The sequence below is a fragment of the Homo sapiens genome, chromosome 17, assembly GCF_000001405.40.
Source record: "Homo sapiens chromosome 17, GRCh38.p14 Primary Assembly".
NCBI lineage: Eukaryota > Metazoa > Chordata > Mammalia > Primates > Hominidae > Homo > Homo sapiens.
In genome coordinates this window covers 65,771,980-65,799,801 of record NC_000017.11, presented here as the reverse complement: position 1 = coordinate 65,799,801, position 27,822 = coordinate 65,771,980, and the positions used below count along the sequence as shown (strand labels likewise).

The following is a 27,822-nucleotide window of genomic DNA, read 5'->3' as shown; positions in this document are numbered from 1 at the left end:
GTAGAAAGGTAGATGGTGCATAAAGGATTATTACCTTTTGTTTAGTTATTTCCTTTTGTTCAGTTGTTTGACTTGCGTCAATGTGGCTTTCTGTTTCAGAAAGAGGCACAAGGCTGAGATAGCCCCTTTTCACTGCCTTTGCCTCCTCAGAACTGTAGTTGCTTTAGGACTTGCCTAAGGGCAGCAGTGCTCTTTGACTATTGCCACAGTTGTCTCCTCTGCTCTTCTGGATCATTCTCCACAGTGCCAGAGGATTCATCTTCCCAACTGGACTTCTATTCATTTTATTCCCTGCTCACAGACCTCTTCCCCATCCCACTGCATCCAAAATGAAATCCAGTTTCTTGGCCTGTGACCCCTTGATTTGACTAAAACCCTGAATTGTTGACCCTGAAGCCCCAGAATTGAGTGGGAGACAGACATGAGATATAACCAACAATGAGATGTATGTGGGTAAGGTAGAGGATCCGGTGCCAGCTTACATTCCCAGCTCCGTATCCCAGCATTGGAAGCTTCTTTAAGCTGTCAAGAGGAAAGTGTTTCTATTGGTAGATATTCTTGTTAGCCACAGATTTGTTTCAGAATTGGAGGGGAAAGAAAATACACCTTATTCAGGAAATTTTTTGCCTAGAAAATATTTTCTCTTAATTTCACCTCAAAATAAAAGGGAAGTAACACTAGAGAATTAAATACTACATTATCATATACTTAAACCTTTTAAACCAAGTGGAAGGGAACAACTTTTGAGTCTAATTTAGGGTAAAATATGTGTATTATACCTTTGACCAGTCAAGGAAATTCAAACATTTGGTTTCTGCCTCTTTGGCTAGTAAATGAGTTAGTTCATTTTTTGTGTATTTTAATATTCTGAAGGCTTTCGGTCATTAATAAAAATTAAGATTCACTAAAGCACTCCGGAACAAATTCTGGTTCCTAATGCATTTTCATGTAGAATTTTATTTGCTCTTAATTTTTTAGTGGATTGAAAACCATGGTCACATAGTTCATCAGAAAAGCACTTCAAGGATGTCAGTAGCTTTGGATTCTAAAGCAATTAACTATAACCTTTCTAAACAAGAGACAGTAAAAATTCTCGGATTTTTCCAAATTCTGTTCTGCGATTATAGTACTGGAGATCAGTGCTTGTGACAAATAACAGGTATTAAGCATGTCATCAGGCTGGTTTAGAATGCAAGCAAGGTGATGTGCAAATCTAAATGAAATTGAATAATGAGTAGAACATAGGAGAGTAGGGAGATATCCCTAGAACCTAGGTCTACTATAACTTTAGTCCGTGAGTCAGTCTTTTAAAATAACCACACAGGGGTACTCACAACATTGAATTTTTGTACAAAAATGGGGAACCAGATTATGATGCATGGTGGATCTTACTGATGACTTCAGAAAAGGTGCTTGAGTATTCTTAGAAGCCAGCCAGCCAGCTAGCCTTTCCCCAGTATACACTAATTCAGATAAAGAATATTTCACTCAGATACATATGAGAAGATAATAGGTTTCAAATTTTTGAAGTTATAAATATATAATGTGTTTTTTTTATGACTAAATACCTGGAGAGGAGATCAGGAGGTAACTCTCCATTGATCAGGGTCATAGGCTGACAATTCCTAAAGCTCTAAGGAGTGTAGAGGGCTGGGGGCATTTTCTTGAGAACCATAGTGATGGAAAACCAGTGGGATTCCAGAAGGGACCTTGAAGCTCTGCAAACTCAGCTAGACCATATGACTGAGGCCCACACTCATATACCACCCAGTCATCTCCAGGGGGCGCTATGCAAGTAAGATGCCAGCATCTCCCACCAGTTTCCACTTTAGCCAGTAGCATCAGAGACCCTCGCATGCGTGTGCAGCCTCCCCCACTACTAGAACCACAATGATACTCTACATGAAGGGTCCCTCCACTGATTTATCAGGGTCAAGAACAAGATTAAATATGATTGTCAGGCAAAAGAAGATTTTCACAAGTGGATAGAAGAGGTGACTAGCATAAGCACTGAACCAGCTTTCAACTGGGCTTAAAAAATGACTTAATCCTCTTCAAACTTAACCAGATTCAATGAAGAAAGTCAATGAGCCTTCCTTGAACTGCCGTGTCTTCCTTTCTAAACTATTCAGGTGTGTGGTATGAAGCTACTGGACATTTTTATAATCAAGTGATATTTTGAAACTGGAAACATGACTCATGTCTGTCAGCATGACATTGGAGTCAAGGTCATACAGGAAAAGCAAGACATTTTGATGAAGGAAAATCATAAGCTGAATTTGCAGATAGGATAAACAAACATGCTAGTGAGGTAGGTATGACAGCCTAAGAGATCAGCAGGTATCTTTATCCTCCCAAATGGTAAACAAACTGTTTAAGTACTCAAGAATAAGCTAGCAAACAGGCAGTAACAAATGAGCCAGGGTTAGATGCTGGTACTGGGTACTAGAAGATGCATCTATGTCCAGAAGCTACCATTGTAATCAGTGGACATCTCAACAATCCCTTTGCAGATGAATATCAACAAGTTGTGTCCGGGCTTGGGTGGTGAGTGTATGACTCCAGATGTTATGCTGCTCCAGCAGAACCAGTCACTCTTGTGGAAGCCAAGGAATGGGAACAGAAGAATATGAAATCTGTGGTACTGATCATCAGTCTTAATATCCAAATGAATATCATGGTACATACCATGATGGCTATCAAAGATGGGTTTTGTTGTTGTTGTTGTTGTTGTTGTTGTTGTTTTTGAGACAGAGTCTTACTCCATCACTCAGGCTGGTGTGCAGTGGCACAATCACAGCTTACTCCATCCTCGACTTCCCCAGGCTCAGGTGTTCCTCCTACCTCAGGCTCCCAAGCAGCTGGAACTACAGGTGTGCACCACCAAGCCCAGCTAATTTTTTTTCTTGTCTTTTTTTTTTTTTTTTTTTTTGTAGAGATGGGGTTTTACCATATTGCCAAGGCTGCTCTTGAACTCCTGGACTCAATCAGTCCACCCACCTCAGCTTCCCAAAGTGCTGGGATTACAGGCGTGAGCCACCATGCCCAACCCAAGATATTATTAATATAATGAATGACCAAGGCACCAATATTAAAGACACATACATTTTTACAATATTCGACTTTAACTGATATTTTCAAACTGTATGAGGTGTTTGAGGCATTTTTGTTTTTGTTTTGCTTTTAGAGTCAGGGTCAATCAGAGCTCACTGCAGCCTTGAATTCCTCAGCTCAAGGGATCTTCCCGCTTCAGTGAGGTTTTTTAAAAAATAGAGTTTAGTATCTGATTTCTACGTAGAAGAAATTTAAATGTTTATATTGCTTAAGTATTGTTTGCTAATTTTTAAAGTAATGATCAATGAGTACAAAAGAAAAATACCCTCATATACAGAGTTGATGTATTATCCTACCTGCAACAGATGAGCCCCAGGCCATTCTCTCAGTTCATTCGGCAGGCTGCAGTGGTTGATTTTGCACAAAGAACTGTGCTAATCTTATAAGGGTTTCAGAGAAGGTTCCTGTGTTCTGAGGAATCGTAGTCTAATAAAGGAAGACAAACATATCTACATAACTGCTACAGACAAACTGTTACAGAAGCCATCATTAGAGGTACACAGGGCTCATGTAATCAAGGGGAAAGCAGAATTCATCATTCTCAGTGGTGGAATCTGAGAAAGCTTGGGAGAGATGTAACTTTAACTGGTTCTTCTAGGATGGGCTGGAACAAGTGGCAAAGGCTTTCTAACTGTTGGGAGCACTCGAGGAAGAATATAGAGGCCCAGAAAACATTCAAAGGGCAGACCCCGTGTGGCCAGGGCAAACTCTACCTGAAATGGGTAAATGAGAGCTAATTACCGAAGTGTGAACAGTGTTAAATGCCTTACTCAGGGGGTTGGGCCTTATTTTTTGTGGATTAGGCACCATTGAAGATTTTTTAGTGGAATAAAATGGTAAGTTTTATTTTTTATTATTTATTTATTTATTTATTTCGAGACAGAGCCTCACTCTGTCGCCTAGGCTGGAGTGCAGTGGCGTGATCTCAGCTCACTGCAACCTCTGCCTCCTGGGTTCAAGCGATTCTTATGCCTCAGCCTCCTGAGTAGCTGGGATTACAGGTGCGCACCACCATGCCCAGCTAATTTTTGTACTTTTGGTAGGGAAGAGGTTTTGCCATGTTGGCCAGGCTGGTCTTGAACTCCTGACCTCAAGTGATCCTCCTGCCTCAGCCTCCTGAACTGCTGGAATTACAGGCATGAGCCACTGTGCCCAGCCAAAATGGTGAGTTTTAGAGAAATAATTCTAGTATAGTACTTGTAAGAAACCAGGGGTAGTCTAGAATTTTGGAGTCTGAATTCCTGCTTTATAGCTTACTGTTCTTTGACAAGTTGCTTAAACTCACTGAGCCTCAGGTTACATAATTGTAAAATGGGGTAATACCTCTCCTGTAGAATTGTAATTGGTGAAGTAATTATGCAAAGCCTTGGCACCTAGTAAGAATTCATTAAATAGTAGCTACCCCTTTAATCATAATAACCAATTTTTAAGAATCTCAGTGGTTTAGACAGTTAGTAGTGTGATCATGAGCTGGTGTTTCAGAGTGAGACTGGCTGACCTGGCTTCAAATCCTACCTCCCACTATTATGAGCTCTGTGACTAGGACAGCTTACCAAGTGACAGTGTTGCCATCTATAAAATAAGGATGACAATCCCAGCCTCATAGGTTTTGTGTTGATCAAATGAGAGAGTATATATTAAAGGGCTTTATATGCCTAGCACTTAGTTTATTCGTTCTTTCAACACGTTTGTTGAATACCTGCCTTGTGTCAGATACTGTTCCATGTACTTGGAATATATCAATGAACAAAACAGATCACAGTCCCCACCCTTGTGGATCTCACATTCTAAGTGACCACTGTTATTGTTGAAAGGGAACACTGGTTGAAAGACTATTGCAGTTGTCTTGGGAAGTGACACAGGTTTTGGACTAAGGCAGTGGTGGTGGAAGGGGAGACGGTAGAAGCCGCAGGTGCGATTCCTGACTGGGTGTGGGTGGAAAGGAAAGGGAGACTTGAGGAGGGTGTCCAAGGTTGTCATGCCGTCCATCAACCTACAGAGGGAGCATAGAGGAAAGGTACATTCGAAGGAGAAAATGATGGAGTTCACATGTTTAATGCCATCAGGATACCCATTTGGAGCTTTCTAGTAGGCAATGGGAAATATTTTTCTGAAATTAGAGAAGTTGAGAGTTTCGCCAGGGGGAGTTTCCTGTAGGTAATTGGTGACCCTCAGTAAACCAATTTCAGTAAAGTGGTGGGATGTGGAGAAATTAGAGAGTAGAAATTGTAGGCACAGACTAACCTTTAAATGCATTATAGAGGGAAGGAAAGGAAAGAAGGAGAAAGCAGCTTGAGAAGTAGCTTATTCTGTCTTCAGATTTGGCAAAGGAAATGAGCCAGTGGAAGGAGAAAGATTGAAGCTATGAAACAGATCATTTGTCTATTCTTTTAATGAATATTTATCCTTTTTCTATGGTTTGCGAAATATTTTGTCATGGGGATGCGTACAAAGATGAAAATGATTATTAAGAATATGGCCTTAAGTGAGTTTACCCTACAACAGAAGACTATACATGCCAATACAGCTTTTTATTACTCCCCATCGGAGTGTAACTTCTATGACAACAGAAATTTTGCCCGTTTTGTTCACTGCTGTATCCCCAGTGCCTGGAAGACTACCTAGAATATAGCAGGCATTCCATAAATGTTGAATAGACAGAAGTTTCAGTGGAAAGAGAATATCTGAATTATTCAAGAAAACTATCATTCTTTTTGTTTCATCAGGAATAGTTCTTTTCCATAATCACTGCTTCGTAGCTATGGAGAGTAGAATGGGGGCACTCACAGAGAAATAAGATATAGGTCAAACTGAAGGAATAAGAGAAAGGTAATGAAGTTAGGATTATTGTACAACAAAGATTATCCTTTCCAGAAGAACTTTTCCAGGAATACACAAATGCTATTTTTCTGTAGAACAATTATTGGAGCAGAAGAATATATTAACAAACCTAGAGGGTACAGATTTATCTCAATTTTAGATCCAGTTTTCATAAATGATGGACTAAGTAAGGCTGAGAAATAAAGGAAAATGTGTCTATGTTCAAAGTATTAGCAAAGCAGATTTAGGTAAGTTTGCCACCTGTTGCCTCAAGGGCAGAGAGAGAGAGAATATGTGAGATAAAGTGTGAGTTCTTGTAGGAATTAGAGGAAGACATTTTTAGTTTTTATTTTTTGTTTATTTTTTCCAACTTTTAAGTTCAGGGGTACATGCGCAGGATGTGTAGGTTTGTTACATAGGTAAACATGTGCCATGGTAGTTTGCTGCACAGATCATCCCATCACCTGGGTATTAAGCCCAGCATCCATTAGCTGTTCTTCCTGATGCTCTCCCTTCTCCCACTCCCCACCTTCCAACAGGCCCCATTGTGTGTTGTTCTCCCTCATGGGTCCATGTGTTCTCATCATTCAGCTCCCACTTATAAGTGAGAACATGCGGTATTTGGTTTTCTGAATAAATGAATGGGTAAATAAACTGTACTACCCAAACAATGGAATATTATTCAGTGCTAAAAAGAAATGAGCTATCTTCACCCTCCACTCTCTTACTCTGGGTTATTATTTCATATTTCATGCATCCCTCTGTTACTCCGTTATTGGTCTATATGTTTATTGTGTGTGCCCCCTCCCTCGCCCCCCACCAGTGCAGGGTAAGCTTTCTGTAGACAGGAGCTTCGATTTGGACATGGCTACATCCTCAGTGCCCACTAGGCGTCCAGCTAAAAAGAGGTGTTCAATCGTGTATTTTCTTGATTACTAAAAATGAATTAACAGTACCTTCTAGATTACTAAGGAAGTTATATAATCTTTGGTATAGGCAATTTCCTCCATGAAATATTTTTTTTAAATACCCACTACTAAAACATATCAGTGCCAGCCATATGTTCTGACTTAACAGTACCCTCTTTTGGTATATAGCTTCTATTCCTTTTTTCAAACATCTAAGTTCAGGGGTACATGTGCAGGTCAGAGAAAATTCAGCTCTAGCAGCTTCAGAGACAGGTCTTGATTTCACCTAATTCTGATGGTTCTCTATACAGTACCTAATTATCTAATCTCTGCTTTTTATGTAACATAACACAACGTAAATTTACTTTTTTTTTTAAAGAGTTTTTAGCTTCCTGTATGATGTATTTCTTCACTTACTTGAAAATGGAGAAATTTAGTACTTTTCTTTGAGAAAGAGACATCGGTATGTAACTTGTTCTGCATTGTTTTAATGAGAACAAAAACAAAATGTTCCCGAATTACTTGCTTGCAGCTACAAAGCATGTTTAAGGAATAAAAATCTCCTTCATTAAATGCATGATGAAAAAAAAGAATTGTTTTGAAGTTCTTAGGATCAGCTTGTATAGGCTTCATTGTAAACTGATACTAAAGAGTCCCCATTACGATCTGTGTATTTTGGTGCCAGAAGGTTTTTTTCTTATGCTAAATTATTAAGTTCTGTCAGCTGCTGTGCTGTCATATAGAGATATAGTAAATCACATTATATTTTGTCATGGATTACATGGAGCAATAAGTTTGGGAATAAAGATCAAAGTAGTTCCACAATCACATCTGAGTGTAGGAGCGCTGTTTAACTTGTAGAAAACTGATTTAGGTAAAGCTGCGGCAGTTCTTGTGTGAATTGGAAATGAATTTGGATATTTGGTTGAAAATGAATGAGGATCAAATCCCAAAATGACTTTCCATTTTTGTATCTAGTTCAGAGAAGTTAATTCCAACACCTAGCTGCATGACTTGAATTAGATAAATAATTACATGCTGAGAGTTGCGGACTCAGTGAAAATTGTCTTTATGTATTTTAATTGCTTTTGTGATTAAACAATATATTTCATTGTATTTTATTTGGGTTTTTTTAGGGGGAACCACATAATTAAATATTCTTGTAGCGATGCTGTCTGATTCCTTAGAGCTGAGCTCTTTGGTTTTTACTGCATTTAAAACCATTAAAGTAAGCCAGTTTAAGCACACTAAGCAGTCTTGATTACCTAGATCTTGATGGTTATTATCTTTGTTCTGTGTTACTATAGAAACTCTTTAGGGGTTATCAAAGTTGATGATATTCATTTATTTAGAATAGATAATCTCAACTGGTTGGGTTCTTTTCAGAGAAAAAGTTTTCATAGAAACTAGATAATATGGCAGAAGTGGTTAGCAGAAATCATGTGTTTTGTATCAATTACTGTCCTTATACTTTTACTTAGGGAAGTGCCCTCTGTTTTGTCCTCATTAGCTAGAACAGTGGTTCTTCACCTAAAGCTGATTATCAGAAGCAACCAGGGAGCTTTTAAATCAGATTCCTGGGCCACAAGATCCTGGTGGCTGATTCAGTAGAAAAAGCTCAAAAGCGTTTTTCTCCTGTTACTCTGGCATCATCTTTCCTACTTTCTTTCTTCATTCTAATCCTGTTTGGAGAAATATTTTTAAATGCTATAGCCCATTAACAGACATTTAAGCTTTACAAAATTATTTCTCAAGGTTTTGGTTTCTTGTTTTATTTTTCATCCCCTACTGTCATCCTTTTATTGATATTTTTCCTCTCGTGAAATCTAAAAGATTTACACTAATGCTGTAATAAATCAGTCTGACATTAGACTTAATCAAATCCCCCCCAAAATCATATGAAGATTAAGCCTCCCCCCCATTCCAAATGGGATCAAAATAAAGTGTAATTGGGATATAGATAGGGTAGCCTGCAGTGCTGATTTTGGTCTGAAAGGAAATAAAATGCCAGTTGGTGCCTGTATGTCAGGTACATCCCCAACGCAAGGGTGTTAGACTAAGATGGAAGGTTTAGCAGTGATTCTGCCAAGGCCTAGTTAGAAGAGACTGAACAGTTTGAAGAACTTAGCAGAAGATCACAGAGATTCTATTTACAAGCCCCAAGCTCTTCTAACAGGCTTTTCCTCAGGTCCTCTGATAATGTTGAGATGCCTCCTAAATCTAAGGCCCCTGGGTGGGAGCCACTATGTTAGAGCATCACTGTGAAAAGCCAAAAGCAAGCAGAGCTTTCAGAAAATGGCCTGAGCCCTGTGTTTAGAAAATATAGGTCCTAATTAAGGCTATTTCCATGCGAGGATCGAAGGAGCTGAGGACTGGAGAGGTTAAGACTGAAGAGAGAATGATTTAGAGCACTTAGACTGGGCCCAGTCACTGAAGCCAGCTGGGCCCAAGCTGGTGGTTTTTGAGGACTGCTGCTTCAAGAGTATAGAAATGCAGCTTGCACATTCAGCACCTGCTGGGCCTCGACTGAACTGACCCCTGAGGAGCCCTTGTAGTCATGATCTGCATCTTCCCTAGTTACTGCTCACCTTTTTCCTTATTCCCCAGGCTTCTACCTGGGTCCTTGGTCTCAGTTCCCATCATAGATCCGTGCTGGGATTTGAATCAGGCCCTGATCCCTAGCTTGGTTTATTGGAAACCTTGATCCCTTATAGTCTTTGCTTCTGATTCTTCTTATAAAGCCAAAAATGGCTCTCTTTCCTTTAGGACACAAATGTCAAGAACTACCCCTGTCTAGAAGCTCTGCCTTCCAAGTCCCATACTGCATTCTCAAATTAAGCACTTTCAGTAGCAAACTGTCTAATCTACTCTTGCCCAGGATTTAAGCTGCCAGCTTCTTCTACAGGCAGGGAAGAGGCAAGGCTACCCATTTTGTTTTCCTCTGTTCCTTTGGTCAGTTTCAGCTGCTACTCCCTTCCTGTGAGGCACACTGAGCCTGTCAGGCAACAGTTAGGATATAGACTTGGAGTAGAAGGGTGGGCTATGATCCAGTTCTCTCAAGGAAGCTAAATTTGCATCCTATTATATGCTAGATGCTTGGAGTTAACATGTACAACATATTCCCCCTCCCCTTAAAGAGTTGTCAGTCTAGTTGTATAGATAATTTTAATATAATAAGCAATAAAATAATTGTGTATAGGCCGATAGAGAAATGTGACTTGGCCCAAACTGAGATTTCTTGAGGTTTTGTGGAAGACTTCCTGATGTTCAAATGATTATTGCAAGATGATTAAGATCCTACCAAGGAAATGAATGATATTCATGAAAAAAAAAATGGGACAAAAACACAGGGTGTGAAATAGCATATTCAGGGAACTAAAGTCTGGTGTTCACAGAGGCATAAAAGGTAGAGTGGGAAGTAGAGAAACATGAAGCTGGAGAGGTAAAGTCCTGGCCCTGAATGGTACTGTATGCCCCATTAAGGAACTTGAACTTTAGTATTTGCTAAGAAGCAATGAAAATTGCTTCTTTAATTACAAAGTGATATGATCATATTTATACTTTAGATAGAGTATCAGTTGAAAGATGGTGGGTGGATCTATATCAGACAGCAAAAATGAAATATCTAGAGTGAATAGGACAATAAGTTAGAAGGCTACTAGAAAAATTCAGGAGAGAAAGGTGAAAATCTAGAAGTAAAAGTTGGCAGGACTGTCAAGAGCGAGAGAGAGGGATTCTAAAAAATTCTACTAAGTTTCTTATTTGGGTGTCTAAATGTAAGTGCCACTAACTAAGATGAGAAGGAACAGACTCAAGAAGAAATGATCGAGTTCAGTTAGTTGAGTGCCTTTGGGACATCACAGAGAGGTGTCTGGATCTGGGTACCAAGGCTGTAGTGGCTAGGGATGAATTTGGAAGTCATATCAACAAAAAGATGATTTACTATCGGAATGGATTAAAAAGGGAGAGGTTGCTATGGTAAGGAAAGGGCAGATGGAATGGGGCAATTATTTAAAACCAGCTATAGATCGATAAGCAATTGTCAGAGAGGTCCCTGGAGAACCAGGAGGAAATAAGGACATAGATGCCATAGGAGTTAGAGGTTTTAATTAAAAATCAGTAATTCGGCAAACGCAAAGTTTGATCCTTTGAAAAGACTAGTAAAATATAAACTTTTTAGAAGACCGGTCAGAAAAATAGGGAGAAGACACAAATAGGGAAAGGAGGAAATAGGAAAAATGACTGCTGATTGAGTCAAAAAACATAGAAAAGATAATTTAATGAATAACTTTATGCCAATAAAATTGAAAATCTGGATAAGATGGAAACATTTTTAGAAAACGTGATTAAATGAAAGAATAGAAAACTCTAATAGTCCTGTAGAAATTAAATAAATATAGCATTTAGTTTTAAATATTTTATTAAAGAAAACATCAGACTCAAATGATTTTGGTCAAGTTCTTACCAAACATTCAAGGAACAGAAAACTCCAATAATAAACAAAATCTGTGACAGGAAAAAAAGAAGTAATATCCCCCATTTATTCTAAAGCCAGTGTAGTCTTGATATGAAAGTCAGCCAGGAACAGTAAAAAGCAAATTACATACCAATCTTACATTTAATTTTAAGTGTAAAATTCCTAACCAAAATTTAGAAACAGAATCTAGCAGTACATAAAAATGTTTATACATTTCAACCAAGCTGGACTGAATGCAAGAATGCAAGGGTGATTTCATGTTAGAAATCCATTAATATAATCCATCACGTTGCCACACTGAAAGGAGAAAAACCATGTGATCATCTCAGGTAAAGAAAAGCATTTGGCAAAATTCAACTCATATCTGTGATAATCTTAATAAGCTAGGAATAGGAGGGAGTATCCTTACCCTGATAAAGAATATTAATCAAAAACTTAGAGCAAACATCATTTTTAGGGTGAAATGTTAGAAGGATTCCCTTTAAAATCAGGAAAGGAGAAGGGTGCCCGTTAATCACTGCTGCTGTTCAACAGTGAAATACAGATGCCATTGGTCACAGCTATACAAGAAAAAGAAATAGGATACAAATTAGAAAGAGGGAAGCAACCTGATATTATTCACTGATGATATGATTGTCTGTACATAAAATCTATACATAAAACCTAAGTGGATCAGTAAACTATTGGAAATAATAAGACAGTTTAGCAGTTGTCTAAATATATAATCCAGCAAGAAACAGAAAACATAATTTAAAAAATGATTCTGCTAACACAGCAAAATAGAAAGTGTATAGGAATGAATCTAAGAATAGCCGTATAAGTCCTATTTGGAGAACTTTTAACTGTTTTAAAAGAAATTAAAGAAGACCTAAATCATGGAGAAATATACCCACTAAATCTTGAATACCTTAAGTATCTTAAAGATGTCAATTGTCCTCAATTTGACCTATAGATTTAATGCAATTCCTTGGATTTATCTGACAAAAATAAATCTAATTTTTAAAGACAGGATCTCACTGTCACCCACATTGGAGTGCACTGGTGCGATTATAGCTCACTGCAGCCTTGAACTCCTGGGCTTAAGTGATCTTCCCACCTTAGCCTCCCAAGTAGCTGGGACTACAGTTGCACACCACCATGCCCAGCTGAATTTTTAAAATTTTTTGTAGAGATGGGGGTCTTGCTTTGTTGTCCAGGCTGACCTTGAACTCCTGGCTTCACGCAGTCCTCCCACCTCGGCTTCCCAAAGTGCTGAGATTACAGGTGTGAGCCACTGTGCCTGGCCTAAGGCCCAAGAGCAGCCAAAATTATTCTGAAAAAGAAAAAGTCAAAAGTATTTCCCTCCTACCACATACAAAATCAAAATTTGTTGCAAAGGTATGGACGTTAGTAGTTTGGCACTGGTACAAGTATAGATAGACTGACCAAAGAAACAGAATAGAGAGCACATAAAGCCATATATTGATATATATAGATGATATAGATGTAGTTATGGAAACTTGGCATAATATTCTTTTGTTAAGCTCTTCATTTCTGACACACGCCATAGAAATTTGGCATGTGTCAGAAATGAAGAGTTTAGTAAAAGAATTGGCTAAGGCCAGGTGTAGCAGCTTTGCTTATAATCCCAGCACTTAGGGAGACGAAGGCAGGCGGATCACTTGAGCCTAAAAGTTTGAGACCAGCCTGGGCAACATAGTGAGACCTTATCTCTAGTAAAAATAAAAAGGTCGTCGGGTGTGGTGGTGCATGCCTGTGGTCCTAGCCACTCAGGAGGCTGAGGCAGCAGGATAGCTTGAGCCCAGGAGATCAAATCTGCAGTGAGCTGTGATTGCACCACAGCATTCCAGCCCAGGTGACAGAGTGAGACCCTGCCTCAACAACAACAGCAAAAAAAAAAAAAAAAAAAAGAATTGGCTAAAGACAAAACAGCATTTTACAGAGGTGTAAATATCAGTAGCCCATAAATACATGAAGAACTGCTCATATCGTCAGTAACCAAGGAAATGAAAAATAAGACACTAATGAAATGTTATATCTAATAGACTGACAGAAATTAGGAAGTCTGGCAAGAAAAGAAAAGTCATCCCGATCGGAAAGGAAGAAGTAAAATTCTATCCTCCAATGACAAAATCTTGTGTACAGAAAAATTCTCAGGAATCCTACCAAAAAAAAAACCTGTTTGAAAAATAAGAGTTTACCAAGGTTGCAGGATATAAGATCAATATAGAAAAATCAATTGTATTCCAATACCCTAGGAGTAAACAATCTGATAATGAAATTAAGAAAACAAATTCATTTAAAATAGCATGAAATAATTAAATACTTAGGAATAGAATTTAACAAAAGAAGTGCAAAATATGTATCTTGAAAACTACAAAACATCAATGAAAAAATTAAAATCTAAATAAATGAAAAGGCATTCATATTTACAGATCAGAAAACTTAACGTTGTTAAGATGCCAGTATTACCCAAATTGATATACAGATTCAGCACAATCCTACCGAAATCCCAACTGCCTTTTTTAGTATAAATTGACACACTGATCCTGAAATTTATATGGAAATTCAACAAATAGTGCTGGGACAACTAGATATCCATATGCAAAAGAGTAAAGCTCAACCTCTACCTCACAAGATACACATAAAAGGACCTCAAAGTGAATCACAGACCTAAAAATAAATGGTAAAACTATAAAACTTTTAGAAAAAAGCAATATCAGAGAAAAATGCTATGAAACTCTTAGAAGAAAACATGCAAGTAAATTTTCATGACATTTCAGGATTAGGCAAAGAATTCTTAGATATGACACTAAAAGCACAAATGACAAAGGAAAAAATAGATAAACTGAACTTCATCAAAATGAAAAGCTTTAAAGGAAACTTCCAAGAAAGTAAAAGAACAACCCACAGATAGAAGGAAATAATCACAAATCATGTATCAGAACAACAATGAGATACCACTTCATACCCATTAGACTGGATGTAATCAACAAGACAGACGAAAGTTTTGGCAAGGATGTGGAGAAATTAGAACCTTCATACTTTGCTGGTGAGATTGTAAAATGGTGCAGTCATTTTGGAAAATAGTTTGGCAGTTCCTCAAAAAGCTAAACATAGTTACCACATGACTCAGCAATTCAACTCCTAAGTACACACAGGAGAACTGAAAAAATATTTCCCAAAGAAACTTGTACAAGAATGTTTACAGAAGCATTATTCATAGTAGTCAAAAAGTGGAAAAAACTCAAATGTTTGACTGAGGAGTGGATAAACAAAATGTGGTATATCCACACAATGGATTTGACTAGGAAAAGGAATGAAGTACTGATACATTCCACAACATAGATGAACATTGGAAACATGCTAAGTGAAAGAATCTGGTCATGAAAGGTCATATGTTGTATGATTTAAATTACGTGAAATGCCCAGAGTGGAAAAATCCCTAGAGACAGAAAATAGATTAGTGGTTGCCAGTGGCTCAAAGGATGGGAGAATGGGAAGTGACTGTTAATAGGGATGGGTTCTTTTTTTGTTGTTTTTTGTTTTTTTGAGGTGATGAAAATATTCTAGAATTTTGTCGTGGTGATAAATGTACAGATCTATGAATATACTAAAAACCACTGAATGGTGCAGTTTTAAATTATGAACTTTATGATATGTGAATTATATCTTACTACAGCTGTTATTAAAAATAGAAAATCTGGCTGGGTATGGTGGCTCACTCTGCAATCCCAGCACTTTAGGAGGCCGAGGCAGGCGGATCATGAGGTCAGGAGTTCAAGACCAGCCTGGTCAATATGGTGAAACCCCGTCTCTACTAAAAATACAAAAATTTGCCAGGCATGGTGGCATGCGCCCATAGTCCCAGCTACTCAGGAGGCTAAGGCAGGAGAATGGCGTGAACCCGGGAGGCAGAGGTTGCAGCCAGCCAAGATCACACCACTGCACTCCAGCCTGGGCGACAGAGTGAGGTTCCGTCTCAAACAAAAAGAAAAAGTAGCAGAGCACCCCAGTCTTGGGGACATGCCAGGAAGAAAATTGCTTCCCCAGTAAAGAAGCTGAGGCAAATAGTTCTTTTGGGTTTAAAGTGGAAAGATGAATAAGAAAGAGTAACCAGAATCTACTGTAAAAGACTGTTTTGGTAGGTGTCTTTTCTAACAGTCTGACCCTGCAAGTTTATAAGCTCAGCTGTAGTAAAGTCACTTCTGTTATATCTTGTTTCCACTTTAGACCATGCAAAAATGCAGCCATGCCTTAGACCTAACATTACTCGCCTAGTTCACCTCCAGGATTTCAGTCTACCAAATTCTCCTTTTGATCGCTCTTGCCTTGCATTTTATTTTTCCCATTTTCTCACGCATAAAGAACCTAGTGTTTGTCTTCATTCCAGTGCTGACTCACTACTCTCTGATCCATTGCCATCTTGCACTTGCATCACTCCTACATTGCTAAACCTCAGTCCTATTTAATCTTTATTGTCCACTTTATCTACATGTTATAAAATAATACCCAGGAAAGTTAAATGATTTGCCCATGGTCACACCACCCAGGTTGGTTTAACTTCATAGCCCATGCTGTTAACCACATGCTTTACTGCTTACCACCTGGCAACAGTTGAAATAGTCGATCAAAGGAACTTTATGTAATGAAAAAGATGGTGGAAGTAGATTTTAGGGTCTGGGTGATGGGAAATTCAACTATAAAGCAACAGAGCCAACTGGACACCTTATTTTTGTCAACTGAACGGGGAAATAAGACATGTTTTGTATGGGCATCATACTTATTGCTTTCAAACATTTTGAATATTATATTAAAATGAAGTGGCGAAGTAATTCAGCCTTGATGTAGATGATTCTGGAAAACTAGATACACTCTAAGTCATTTTATTTTATTTATTTTTATACAACAATTTTCTTATCCATTTATTGGTTGATGTACATTTGAATTGTTTCCACCTTTTAGCTATTGTGAATAGAAGTGTTATGATAAATTGTGTACAAGTATTTGTTTGAGTACCTGTTTTCAGTTCTTTGGAGTATTTACCTGGGTGGTAATTGCTGGGTCACATAAGAATTCTATGCCTAACTTTTTGAAAAACTTCCAAACTGTTTTCTACAACAGCTGAAACATTTTACATTTTTGTCAACAATCTAGGAGAGTTCAAATTTTGACACATTCTCATCAACACTTGTTATTCTCATCATCATCATTATTATTATTACTATTGCCATTCTACTGGGTATGTAGCAGTACCTCAATGTGTTTGATTTGCATTTATTTAATGACTAATGATGTTAAATAACTTTCAGGTGCTTTTAGCCTTCTGTGTATCTTGTTTTGAGAAATGCCTATTCAAGTTCTTTACCCATTTTTTAAATGTGAATTATTCTTTTTTTTTAAATATTTTCTTGAAAAGTAGTAAACTTTTAGTGCAGATAATGTATGTTGTCTTAAAAGTTTGCATAGTCTTATATTTCTTTTTCAATTTTATTTTTATTTTTTTTTCAACTTTTATTTTAGATTCAGTGGGTACAGGTACAGGTTTGTTACCTGGGTATATTGCGTGATGCTGAAGTCTATGGTACAAATGATCCTGTCACCCAGTTACTGAGCATAGTACTGAACAGTTAGTTTTCCCACCCCTACCCTCTTCTCCCTCCCACCTCTAGTAGTCCCCAGTGTCTATTGTTGCCATCTTTATGTCCATGAGTACCCAATGTTTAGCTCCCACTTATAAGTGAGAACATGTGGTATTTGCTTGGGCTAATGGCCTCCAGCTGTATCCATGTTGCTGCAAAGGACATGATTTCGCCCTTTTTGTGGCTGCATAGTATTCCATGGTATATATGTACCACATTTTCTTTATGCAATACACCATTGATGGGCACCTAGGTTGATTCCATGGTTTTGCTATTGTGAATAGTGCTGCAGTGAGCACTCATGTACATGTGTCTTTTTGGTAGAATGAATTACTTTCTTTTGGTTGTATACCCAGTAATGGGATTGCTGGGTCAAATGGTAGTTCCATTTTTAGTTCTTTGAGAAATCTCCAAACTGCTTTCCACAGTGTCTGAATTACTTTCCATTCCCACCAACAGTGTATAAGCATTCTCTTTTCTCTGCAGCCTCACCAACATGTTTTTTGACTTTTTAGTAATAGCCATTCTGACTGGTGTGAGATGGTATCTCATTGTGGTTTTGATGTGGATTTCTCTGATTAGTAATATGGGGCATTTTTTTTCATATGTTTGTTGGCCACTTGTATGTCTTCTTTTGAGAAATGTCTGGTCATGTCTTTTGCCCATTTTTTATGAGGTTGTTTTTTGTTTGAGTTGTTTAAATTCCTTATAGATTCTGGATGGACCTTTGTCAGATGCATAGTTTGCTAATATTTTCTCCTATTCTGTAGTGTGTCTGTTTACTCTGTTGGTAGTTATTTTGCTGTGCAGAAGATCTTTAGTTTAATTAGGTTCCACTTGTCAATTTTTGTTTCTGTTGCAATTGCTTTTGAAGACTTATTCATAAATTATTTCCCAAGGCCAAGGTCCAGAATGGTGTTTCCTGAGTTTTCTTCTAGGATTCTTATAGATGGAGGTCTTACATTTAAGTCTTTAATCTATCTTGAGTTAATTTTTGTATATGGTAAAAGGGATCCATTTTCATTCTTCTGCATATGGCTAGCCCACTATCTATATCCCAGCACCATTTTTTGAATACGGAGTTCTTTCCCCATTGCTTATTTTGGTTGACTTTGTTGAAGATTAGATGGCTGCAGATGTGCATCTTTATTTCTGTGTTCTCTATTCCATTCCATGAATCGATGTGTCTGTTTTTGTACCAGTACCATGCTGTTTTGGTTACTACAGCCTTATAGTATAGTTTGAAGCCAGGTAATGTGATCCCTCCAGCATTGTTCTTTTTGCTTAGGATTGGTTTGGTTATTTGGGCTTTTTTTTTTGTTCCATATGAATTTTATAACAGTTTTTTTTCCAATTCTGTGAAAAATGACATTGGTAGATTGATAGGAATAGCATTGAATCTGTAGATTGTAAAATGCCTTGGCAGTATGGCCATGTTAATGATATTGATTCTTCCAATCCATGATCATAGAATGTTTTTCCATTTGTTTGTTTCATCTATGATTTATTTTAGCAATGTTTGTAATTCTCCTCGCAGAGATCTTTCCCCTCCTATTTTTGTGAGTATGTAGCTATCGTAGATGAGATTGCATTCCTGATTTGGCTCTCAACTTGGATGTTATTGGTGTATAGAAATGCTACTGATTTTTGTACATTGATTTTGTATCCTTGAGTCTAGGTCATTTTAAATTAGAAACAGCTAATGCTTAAATCTCAAGAACGTCCTTTCAGCAGCTATTCTAAACTCAAAATAATCCAGTATAGGAAATAGAGCTTTTGTTAAGTATTGAGACCACTGTTTTATATTGAACTGTCTACAAATCTGACATAGCATAGCTTAGTGCAAATATATTTTATAAACTTTCCAATTAATATACATTACTTTTTTTCTTACCCAATTGAACCAAAAAGTAAAAAATTTTAAAAACAAAAAATAAGACATTATGAGCATGCCAAATTGGGGCATCTAATGCCTAGATTCAAAGCTTATAATTCAAATAATTTATTACTTGGCTGATTCATGTCATTTGATCATTGAACAATGTCACTATTTTTTAAATCTTTGAAGTCAAAATTTGACATAGGTGTTCTATCTGCTTCCTAAGAGTACTATACCACAGAATGGCCACTCATGTAAATTTTGTGTTAAGTATATTTAAAGTATACATTATGCTTATTAAAATTTGTTAAATACAGTAGTCAGTTTCCTTTGACATTTGTCAAATCACACATTAGATTTTAGTATAAAGTGTAACAGTGTCAAAGACTTAGAAAAATATTACAGAAGGTAGAGATTTTAAAAAAAATTAATTGACCCCATTTACATTTGGTCTTTGAGGATAAATTATTTTCTGCACATCAGAGAATAGTTGCTTCTTCCCTAGAGCAAAGTAAAGGTTTTTTTCTCCCTCATTCTCTTAAAGTTTGTATTTCAGCCCAAGTAATAAATGAGTTTCAGTTTCTGCGGCCTTTGCTTCAGAGAGCTTCTCTGAGGGTGAGCTTTGAAATATGATTAGATCTTAATTCTTTAACTATTTCCATAAGCTTGTTTCACAGTTTGCTTTCTTATTCAGTGAGCAGGGTGGGGAAATGCATGTAAATCTTATGTGATCATTTATGGGTGTTAGCCATGTAAATATATGTTGCAATGGTGAGAAAATTAGTCCTGAATTATAGTGAGAGAAGAAAATCAACTGTCCCATGCTATTCCTTAGGTTAACTGCCATTAAATAAATATTATAAAAGTCCACAAAACTGACCACAGTTACTAACTCTGTGTGGACAGGGAATGTATCCAGTACCAATAGACATATTCAGAAATAGGACCAAATTCAGGAATATATGGGCATTTCTTCTTAGAATGGATTCATCAGTATTTAATGAGAAACTCAGTAGGTCCAGTATTTAATGAGAAACTCAGTACTGAGTTTAATGGAAAACTCAGTAGGTCCAGTATAGGAAAAAGAGCTTTTGTTAAGTATTAGTAAATAGGGGTATTGATAAGCATACACTACAACACTTCTCAAAAACGGTCTTGTTTATTCCTTCTTTAATAAAGTATGTGGCTTTCCTATGGGATTCTTATAAAATGAATAGGCAGTGACAAAAACCTGAGCACTTGTAGTTCCTAATTATTAGCTTCTGTTTCTGGGTAAAGCAACCATCTAACATGATTCAGTCAATTTTCTAGAAACGAATTGAAACTGAGGAGTCACTAAATATGGATCAGTGACATTTGCAGATGTTTTGCTATTTAAACTAGTTTGCCATTTTCTTGAGTTGGGATTTATATGTAATGATGAAAAAGGACAAGAATTCTTGAATTAAAGTACCCTTTCCTGTGATGATGACATCAAACTGAGAACTTGTCCTTGACTTAAGATAAGATTCAAAAGTCTTAGGATACAACATCAAGAATAAGAACAATCTTATTCATACCTGACACTTAGTAGATAGTACACAAATGTTTGCTCACTTCCTACCACTCTCCTGTCTCGATTACTCTTTTCAAGAAGGGGCTTTCAAATTAGAAATGTGATAATCAGAAGTGTTGTAAATGACAGTCTGCCTACTACTTAATAGTAACTTGCTAGGAACAATTATTAGCTTTTGTGTTTTCAACTAAGTTAGTAAGATTTTATTGTTTAGTACAATGTTTGGGGAAGTTATAACTGCAATGTGAGAGTTTTTTCTTTGAATTGATATTAAATTATGTCTTTAAAAGGTTATTTTTTATCATCAACTTTCTTTAAATATTTGAATTATTTTTAAATGCCTTAAACTATTTATGGCATATAAAACAAATTGTTTACCAAGACAAAAAAATGCCTTTTTTTTTAAAGAGATAAGGTCTTGCTCTGTCACCCAGGGTGAAGTATAGTGGTGCAATCATAGCTCACTATAGGCTCCACCTCCTGGGCTCAAATGATCCTCCTGCCTCAACCTCCCAAGTAGCTGGGATTAAAAGTGCAAGTCACTGCACCCTGAAAGATGCCTTTTTTTGGGTAAATTTATGTCCAATTTTCATTTTACCCCAAATTCTCTTTTATCTCCACTTAGAAGAAATAACAAAAAATAAAAAGTATAGTAAATCATATTTTTCTATACTTAGAAACTTTTTCACTTCCACCTCTCCCTCTGCCTTACCTTTAATATGCTAAGTGGAGATAAAGAAATAGCCATCTTTTTATCTAAAAGCTATAAAAATCTCACCAATTCAGCCCATACAGCCTTCTTTTTTTAATTAATTCATTAAACAGTATTTTTCAAGCAACTACTAAGGGCTGAACAATGATGCCAAAGCCACGAGCTGTGTTAATAACCTATTCAGAAAGAAGACACATTTTCAAAAGACTATAGAACAGCCATGCATGTTACCAGGACTCTAAATACTAAAGGGCAAAAAGTAAATCACTTCTAAGGGAAATAAGCAAAGAAAACAATGTTAGCATATGAACTAGTCATGGTATATTGGTAGGATTATGGCAGAGGGACAGAGACTGCAAAGCAAAAAAGTGATCTGGAAAAGCCCCATTAATCCATATTAGAAAACATTCATTCATTCCTCCATTCATTCAGCAGTTATTGGTTGTGTTGTGTGTTGGTCTTGGGATATATCAGTGAACAGAACAGACAAAAGATTCCTGTCTTTGAGAAGTTGATCTCCAACAGGATAAAGGTGGTGTTTGAAAGAGACATGGGCTCCTTATCACGAAGGACCTTGAGTACCAGGGTGGGGACTGTGGACTTGGTAAGCAGGACTGATCCTTCGGCAGGACAGTCACCATAGAGGTCCAGGGCACATTAGAGATGGGCTAATGATTGAGGTAGGGAGACAGGTCAGGAGAATACTGTCAACGTGAGACTGAGAAATAACTGAATTGGGTAAGGCAGTGGAAATGTGATGGACCAATGAACTGAAGAAAAAGTAATGGTTTTAAGCCTATTGGTGGGGCAGAATGGTGGTTCCAGTGTGTCATAGGTACAGTGCCATTCAAACTTCTTTGAGTCATTTAGTCCTTTGAAAATATATGCTGAAATATTTAGATTCTCTTCCAGAAAAAAATATAGGATATATGTAAAAAATTTATATATGAATAAAATATAATAAACTAAAATAAAAGGTTTGAATAAAACTTTAGGGAGTGGTCTATGGACTCTTAAAGCCTAGCTATAGCTCCAGATTAAGAATATTCATGAAGGGGAGGAGAACTTCAACCACTAGACACATATTGAGTACTACGATAAGCACCTGCTTATTGATCACTGGCCTTGGTGTGTAGGGTGTGGGTAGTGGGATGATAAATGACTATAGCACAGCTCCTACCCTCAAAGTACTTAGAACTGTTGAGATGTGAAATTGTTATGTTCTCAGGGGGACAGCTTAGATGGAAGCGGCAAGTCAGCAGGTGGCAAATCAGAACAGAAGGTCAGGAAATATGGCCAATAAACCAGGGGTGTATTCATTATGATTAGAATCACCAGTGAGTCACAGAAAACTCCAAATCTAAATAGTGGCTTAAACAAGAGAGTTTATTTCTCTCACATTCAGGTCACAGTCTGGCTTACCCTATGCCATCCCTGTGGTGCAGTCCTCAACTTTGTGGTCCAAGCTTGCATTAAAGCCTAGGCATCAGAATGAGGAGTGGGAAGTGGACAGAGAAGAATCCAAGTTCACCTACATGGCGCCTCAAAAGGAAGTTTCCAGAAGCTGCCACACAGTGCCTCCATTTACATGCCACCTAAATGCGGTCACATGACCACGTCCAGCTGCAAAGGAGGCTGGAAAATGTAGTCTTTATTCTGGACAGCAGATGCCCAACCAAAAATTTTATTCTTATGGAAGAAGGGAGAATAGGTGTTATGGAAACAACTAGCATATTCATTCTCAGAAATAAATACAAATTAAAATAAGAAACTATTCTTATTACATTGGCAAAGATTGTATTAATTGAAATACTTAATTCTTACAAACATATAGCAGAATGGGCACCCCAGACAATGATATATATGAGTGTAAATTGATACAGTCTCTCTGGAAAGCACTGTGACAATATTTATAAAAATCTCTAAAACCATTTCTATCCATTGACTTAGTCATTTCACTTTCTGGGATTTATCTTAAAAATATAATCAGTGGTGCAATGAAACATTTTTATGTGCAGATAAATACCACAGTTTTATTTATGATTAAGTATTGGAAATAATCTAAATATCCAGCAATAGAAGAATGGTTCAATAAGTCATGCTATCTCCTGTCAGTATCTCAAATAAAAAGAGAAAGGTGATCACATACTAACTATAAAAAGGGGCAGCTGGCCGGGCACGGTGGCTCACGCCTGTAATCCCAGAACTTTGGGAGGCCAAGGCGGGCAGATCACGAGGTCAGGAGATCGAGACCATCCGGGCTAACATCCATCTCTACTAAAAATACAAAAAATTAGCTGAGCGTGGTGGCAGGCACCTGTAGTCCCAGATACTCGGGAGGCTGAGGCAGGAGAATGGTGTGAACTCGGGAGGCGGAGCTTGCAGCAAGCCGAGATTGCACCACTGCACTCCAGCCTGGGCGACAGAGCGAGACTCCGTCTCAAAAAAAAAGGGGATGGGGGCGGGCAGCTATGCCGGTCAGGCACAGTCCCTTTGAATAGAGCAGATGGTAGATCTTGTACAGGGTTTGGGGTGGCATAGAGATGGAGGTGGGAGGTCCTTTCGAAGCCACGGCTTGACATTGTGAAGTAGAAGTCCAGCGACTTGTGTGAGACTGTTGCCGATTGGTTGGCCTCAGAGGTATGTTTGCTGCAGCGAGTTCATCTCTGATTAGCTGGCTTTTCGAAGTCAGGGGCTGACACCTCTTGGTTGATTACGAAAGTGTGTTCACCAAAGCCAGTCGTCACTGATTAATTGAACGGATTTAAAACCAGTTCTGATGGCTACATGTTACTGTGGCTACGGAAGAATCAGTTTTTTCCTGAATTTATGGGAACATTTTAAAAGTCTCAACTCACATGATGAAATAATAAGCTTTTAAGAATTAGGTTTTGCTGGGCGCAATGGCTCATGCCTGTAATCCCAGCACTTTGGGAGGCTGAGGCGGGTGAATCACTTGAGGTCAGGGGTTAGAAACAAGCCTAGTCAACATGGTGAAATGCCATCTCTACTAAAAATACAAAAATTAGCCGGGTGTGGTGGCACATGCCTGTAATCCCAACTACTCGGGAGGCTGAGACAGGAGAATAGATTGAACCTGGGAGGCAGAGGTTGCAGTGAGCCAAGATCGCACCCGCTGCACTCCAGCCTGGATGACATAGCGAGACTCCATCTCAAAAAAAAATAAAATTTAAAATAAAATTTTAAAAATTAGGTTTTGAAATAATTTTAATTACATGAGAAAATGTTTATGATATAATGCAAAGTGGGGAAAACCGTGATAAAAATGCTTGTGCTTTCCTGCCGTCTCTACTTCCTCAACCCCCTTCCCCTGCGTGCAGAGGCAGCACTGATCTGGTGAGGACATTGTCTCTGCCATGCTTGAGGGTGAGCAGGGTCCCTGGTGTCACACTTGCATGGCCCTAGCTTCCTCTGACTCCGTGTCCCAGCTGTGAGGGTATGACAGGGCTGGAGTCTTTCCAGGCAGGCCCAGTTGGCTCGCTCTCTCTTTAGGCCTAAGTGAGCTTGCTACGGCTTCAGGTTCCTCTCCCCTATGTTGACCAAAAGATGGTCAAATGCTGATTTTCAAGCTTGGGAGGAGGGAGTCTTGACCTCATGGGGCTCAGAAACTGAGCCTCATGTTCCCGCCCACTCGCCACATCAAGGGTATTGAGCACAGAAGCAGCCTGTAATAAAGCAGCTTTTTGTGTCTCCGCTGCTACTACTCCTTTCCTGCATGTCTCCTTCGTGAAGAGGAAGCAGAGCAGCAAACCAGGATCTGAGCCAAATACCACCAAAGCCTCGCTGAACCCTTCCTGCTGATATGCTGTGAAGGGTCTGGATCTCAGGCCATAAAGTCAGAGGTGCCTGCTTCACTGGAATCCATTTCTGTTTTGAATCACCATTTGGCTGTGCAGCAGAAACTTGCTACTTGCCTTTCATCACCTCAGGCCTCAGTCACTCCCCTGGTTCCAGGATGGCATGTAAGCCCCAGTGGCTCTATCATGCCATGGGGTAGGGCCTCCGATCCTGGATGTCACCTACGCACCCAGCACCCACGGAGACATCGATTATCCCCACTAATCTTTGGTTGGACATTATTTTGGCTACATCCGTGCTGCTCTCAGACACCCAGGAAATGTTGTATTCTTCCTGTGTGTGGTCAGGGGGCAGTGGGGAGCCCACAGGAAACGGGTCCTGCAGTCTTGTTGGCCAGCTTGAACACACGCTGCCAAGCTCATCCCTGCTTGTGTCTCTCTGCTCTACAGTGTGGCCCCACAGCCTCTCACCTCTCCTGACCTGTCTGTGAACACCAGCTCCTTCTGCTCTCAGAGGACCCCTGACCTATATGGGGCTTCTATTGTTTCCCCATCTCCCAGGCTTAATGGAGAAGGCAGGGTAAGAAATAGGGTCTTTTCTCGGGAACAAAACCGCAGGTAAACATTTTCTCCTTCATTCCCGATTATGCCCCATCCCTCTTTTCTAGTCTGGGGGTGAGGGAAGCAGGGAGATAAAACCGACTTTCAAGTAGTATTCTTATTCCCCGCCCTGGATCCAGTCAGCCCTGGTTATCGTTTAAATCCAAAAATGGACTTTTTTTTTTTTTTTGAGATGGAGCCTCACTTTGTCACCCAGGCTGGAGTGCAGTGGTGCAATCTCAGCTCACAGCAACTTCCACCTCCCGGATTCAAGTGATTCTCCTGCCTCAGGCTCCCAAGTAGCTGGGATTACAGGCGTGTGCCACCACACCTGGCTAATTTTTGTATTTTTTTAGTAGAGACAGGGTTTTGCCATGTTAGCTAGGCTGGTCTTGAACTCCTGACCTCAGGTGATCCACCTGCCTCGTCCTCCCAAAGCACTGGGATTACAGTCGTGAGCTACTGTGCCCAACCTCCTTTGCTTTTTCTATACTTTCCCACGAGGCAGGGAAGGTAGAATGACAAGCTGGGCAGGGCTGAGTAGAAGAAAATATCAGGTTTAAGACTTCAGAAATATCCAGGTAATGTGCAAAAACATTGCACCGAAAAATCACTAGCTACATGCGGTGATAGATTACAGGAGATAGTCACCATATGTATTTCTTTCTATTTCTTGGTTTTTCTACAATGAGCATTTATTTACTTAAAAAAACCCATCTTTATTGAAGTATAATTTACATTTGGAGACATTCTTGTTTTGTGTCCAGTTCAATGATTTTTAACAGATTTACAGAATTGTATACCATCACCACAATCTGAATTTACTTTTATAATCAGAAGAAAATGAGTATTATAAAAAAATGGCCTCTTATTACAGCAGTAAAAAGGTTGTTGGCAAGTTGAATAGAAGGGACAGGGTCAAATTTCAGGTCATCAAGGAAAGACTGGGTAGTCACCAAGGAGCTCAGTAAATATTTCTTGAACTAATAAGGAAACGAAAATGAAGGCAGGGGGTAGATATTACCTTTCAAGAAATGTGCCTGTGAAGGAAGGAAAGAAGCTTGCAGCCTCAAATCTACCTACCATGCTTCCTCAAGCGTCTGTACCTTTGCACGTCACTCCTGTCATCTGAAACTTTCTTCTCTTTCAGTCACTTGATTCGTTTTCATCCCTGGCTGCATAGCCGTAGACAAGTTCTTTATCTGCTGGGTCTCTCGGTTTCAGTGAGGATAATAGTGCCTACTGCAGAGTTTTTGAGAGGTTTAGATTCATTCATATGTGTAACACATTTAGCCAATATGTGTCAATAGATCAAGAGAAAAGTAAACAGTTATTTTGTTGTTGTTGCTATCATTGTCATTGTCATCATCATCATCATTATCATCATTACCCTTTAATATTCACCTCCTTATGGAAGTCTTCTCTCATGTAGGGTATCTCATATTTTTTCCTTAATAACACCCTGTGCAGATCTCTTTCATGACACTTATTATGCAGTATTTTATTTATTCACTCATCTGTCTCTTCCCTCCCCAACTGCATTAAATCTTTTACTTCTGTAAACATACAGTGCCTAACCCGGAGAAGGTCCTCAAAGTAAATGTTTGCAAAACTAACACAGTGCAGAGGGGTATATCAGGGTTTCAGAAGGGGCTGTCTGTGTGTGTGTGTGTGTGTGTGTGTGTGTGTGTGTGTGTGTGTAATAAATAGAGGGGTCTTTGAGTTTTCTAATTCTTGAGTCACTTTGAGTAATTTCTAACACTTAAGAGATTTATCCATTTTGTTTAAATTATCAAACATTTGTAAATATGATGTTCATATTTTCTTATTACCCTATTAATGTCTACAGAATCTGATAGTAATGTCCCCTGTCTCTATTTCTGATATTGGTAATTTGTGTCTTCTTTTTCAGATCTATACATCTAGAAATTTATCAATTTTATTGTTCTTAAAGAACCAGCTTTTGGTTTCATTAATTTTTCTCCATTGTTTTCCTCTTTTCTAATTCATTGATTTCAACTCTTATATTTATTTTCTTTCTTTTGCTTACTTGGTCTTTAATTTGCTATTCTTTTTCAGGTTGCTTCAATTGAAAGCTTATACCACTTATTTTTCAACTCCCTTCTTTGCTAATAAAAGAATTCAGAAGCTAAAAATTTCCTCTAAGTACTGATTTAGCTGCATTGTATAAGTATATGCTTCCATTTTCATTCATTTCCAAATATTTTCTAATTTCCTTTGCAATTTTTTTTTCAGGGACAGGGTCTTGCTGTGTTGCCCAGGCTGGAGAGCAGTGC

The 27,822-nt window shown here is 38.4% G+C and overlaps 1 protein-coding gene and 1 pseudogene across 23 annotated transcripts in view, besides 1 other annotated feature; both read left to right on the top strand.

Moving 5' to 3' along the window:
• CEP112 (centrosomal protein 112) overlaps positions 1–27,822 on the top strand; it is a 556,597-nt gene that overhangs the window by 392,332 nt on the left and 136,443 nt on the right. The window contains exon 22 of one of the 23 annotated variants that reach the window (XR_007065282.1): positions 25,376–25,505. The exons of the other annotated variants lie outside the window; for them this stretch is intronic. The gene's annotated coding sequence lies outside the window, so the exon portion shown is untranslated. The remainder of the gene's footprint in view (positions 1–25,375; positions 25,506–27,822) is intronic. 23 annotated transcript variants of the gene reach the window in all.
• LOC100419102 (calponin 3, acidic pseudogene) lies at positions 1,897–2,706 on the top strand (annotated as a pseudogene).
• Positions 9,018–9,581: an enhancer, noted in NCBI's record as "NANOG hESC enhancer chr17:63786339-63786902 (GRCh37/hg19 assembly coordinates)". NCBI's record gives its function as "activates a minimal SCP1, AML or CMV promoter by ChIP-STARR-seq in naive H9 embryonic stem cells {active_cell/tissue: H9 hESC(naive)}" and the evidence as "EXISTENCE:reporter gene assay evidence [ECO:0000049][PMID:30033119]".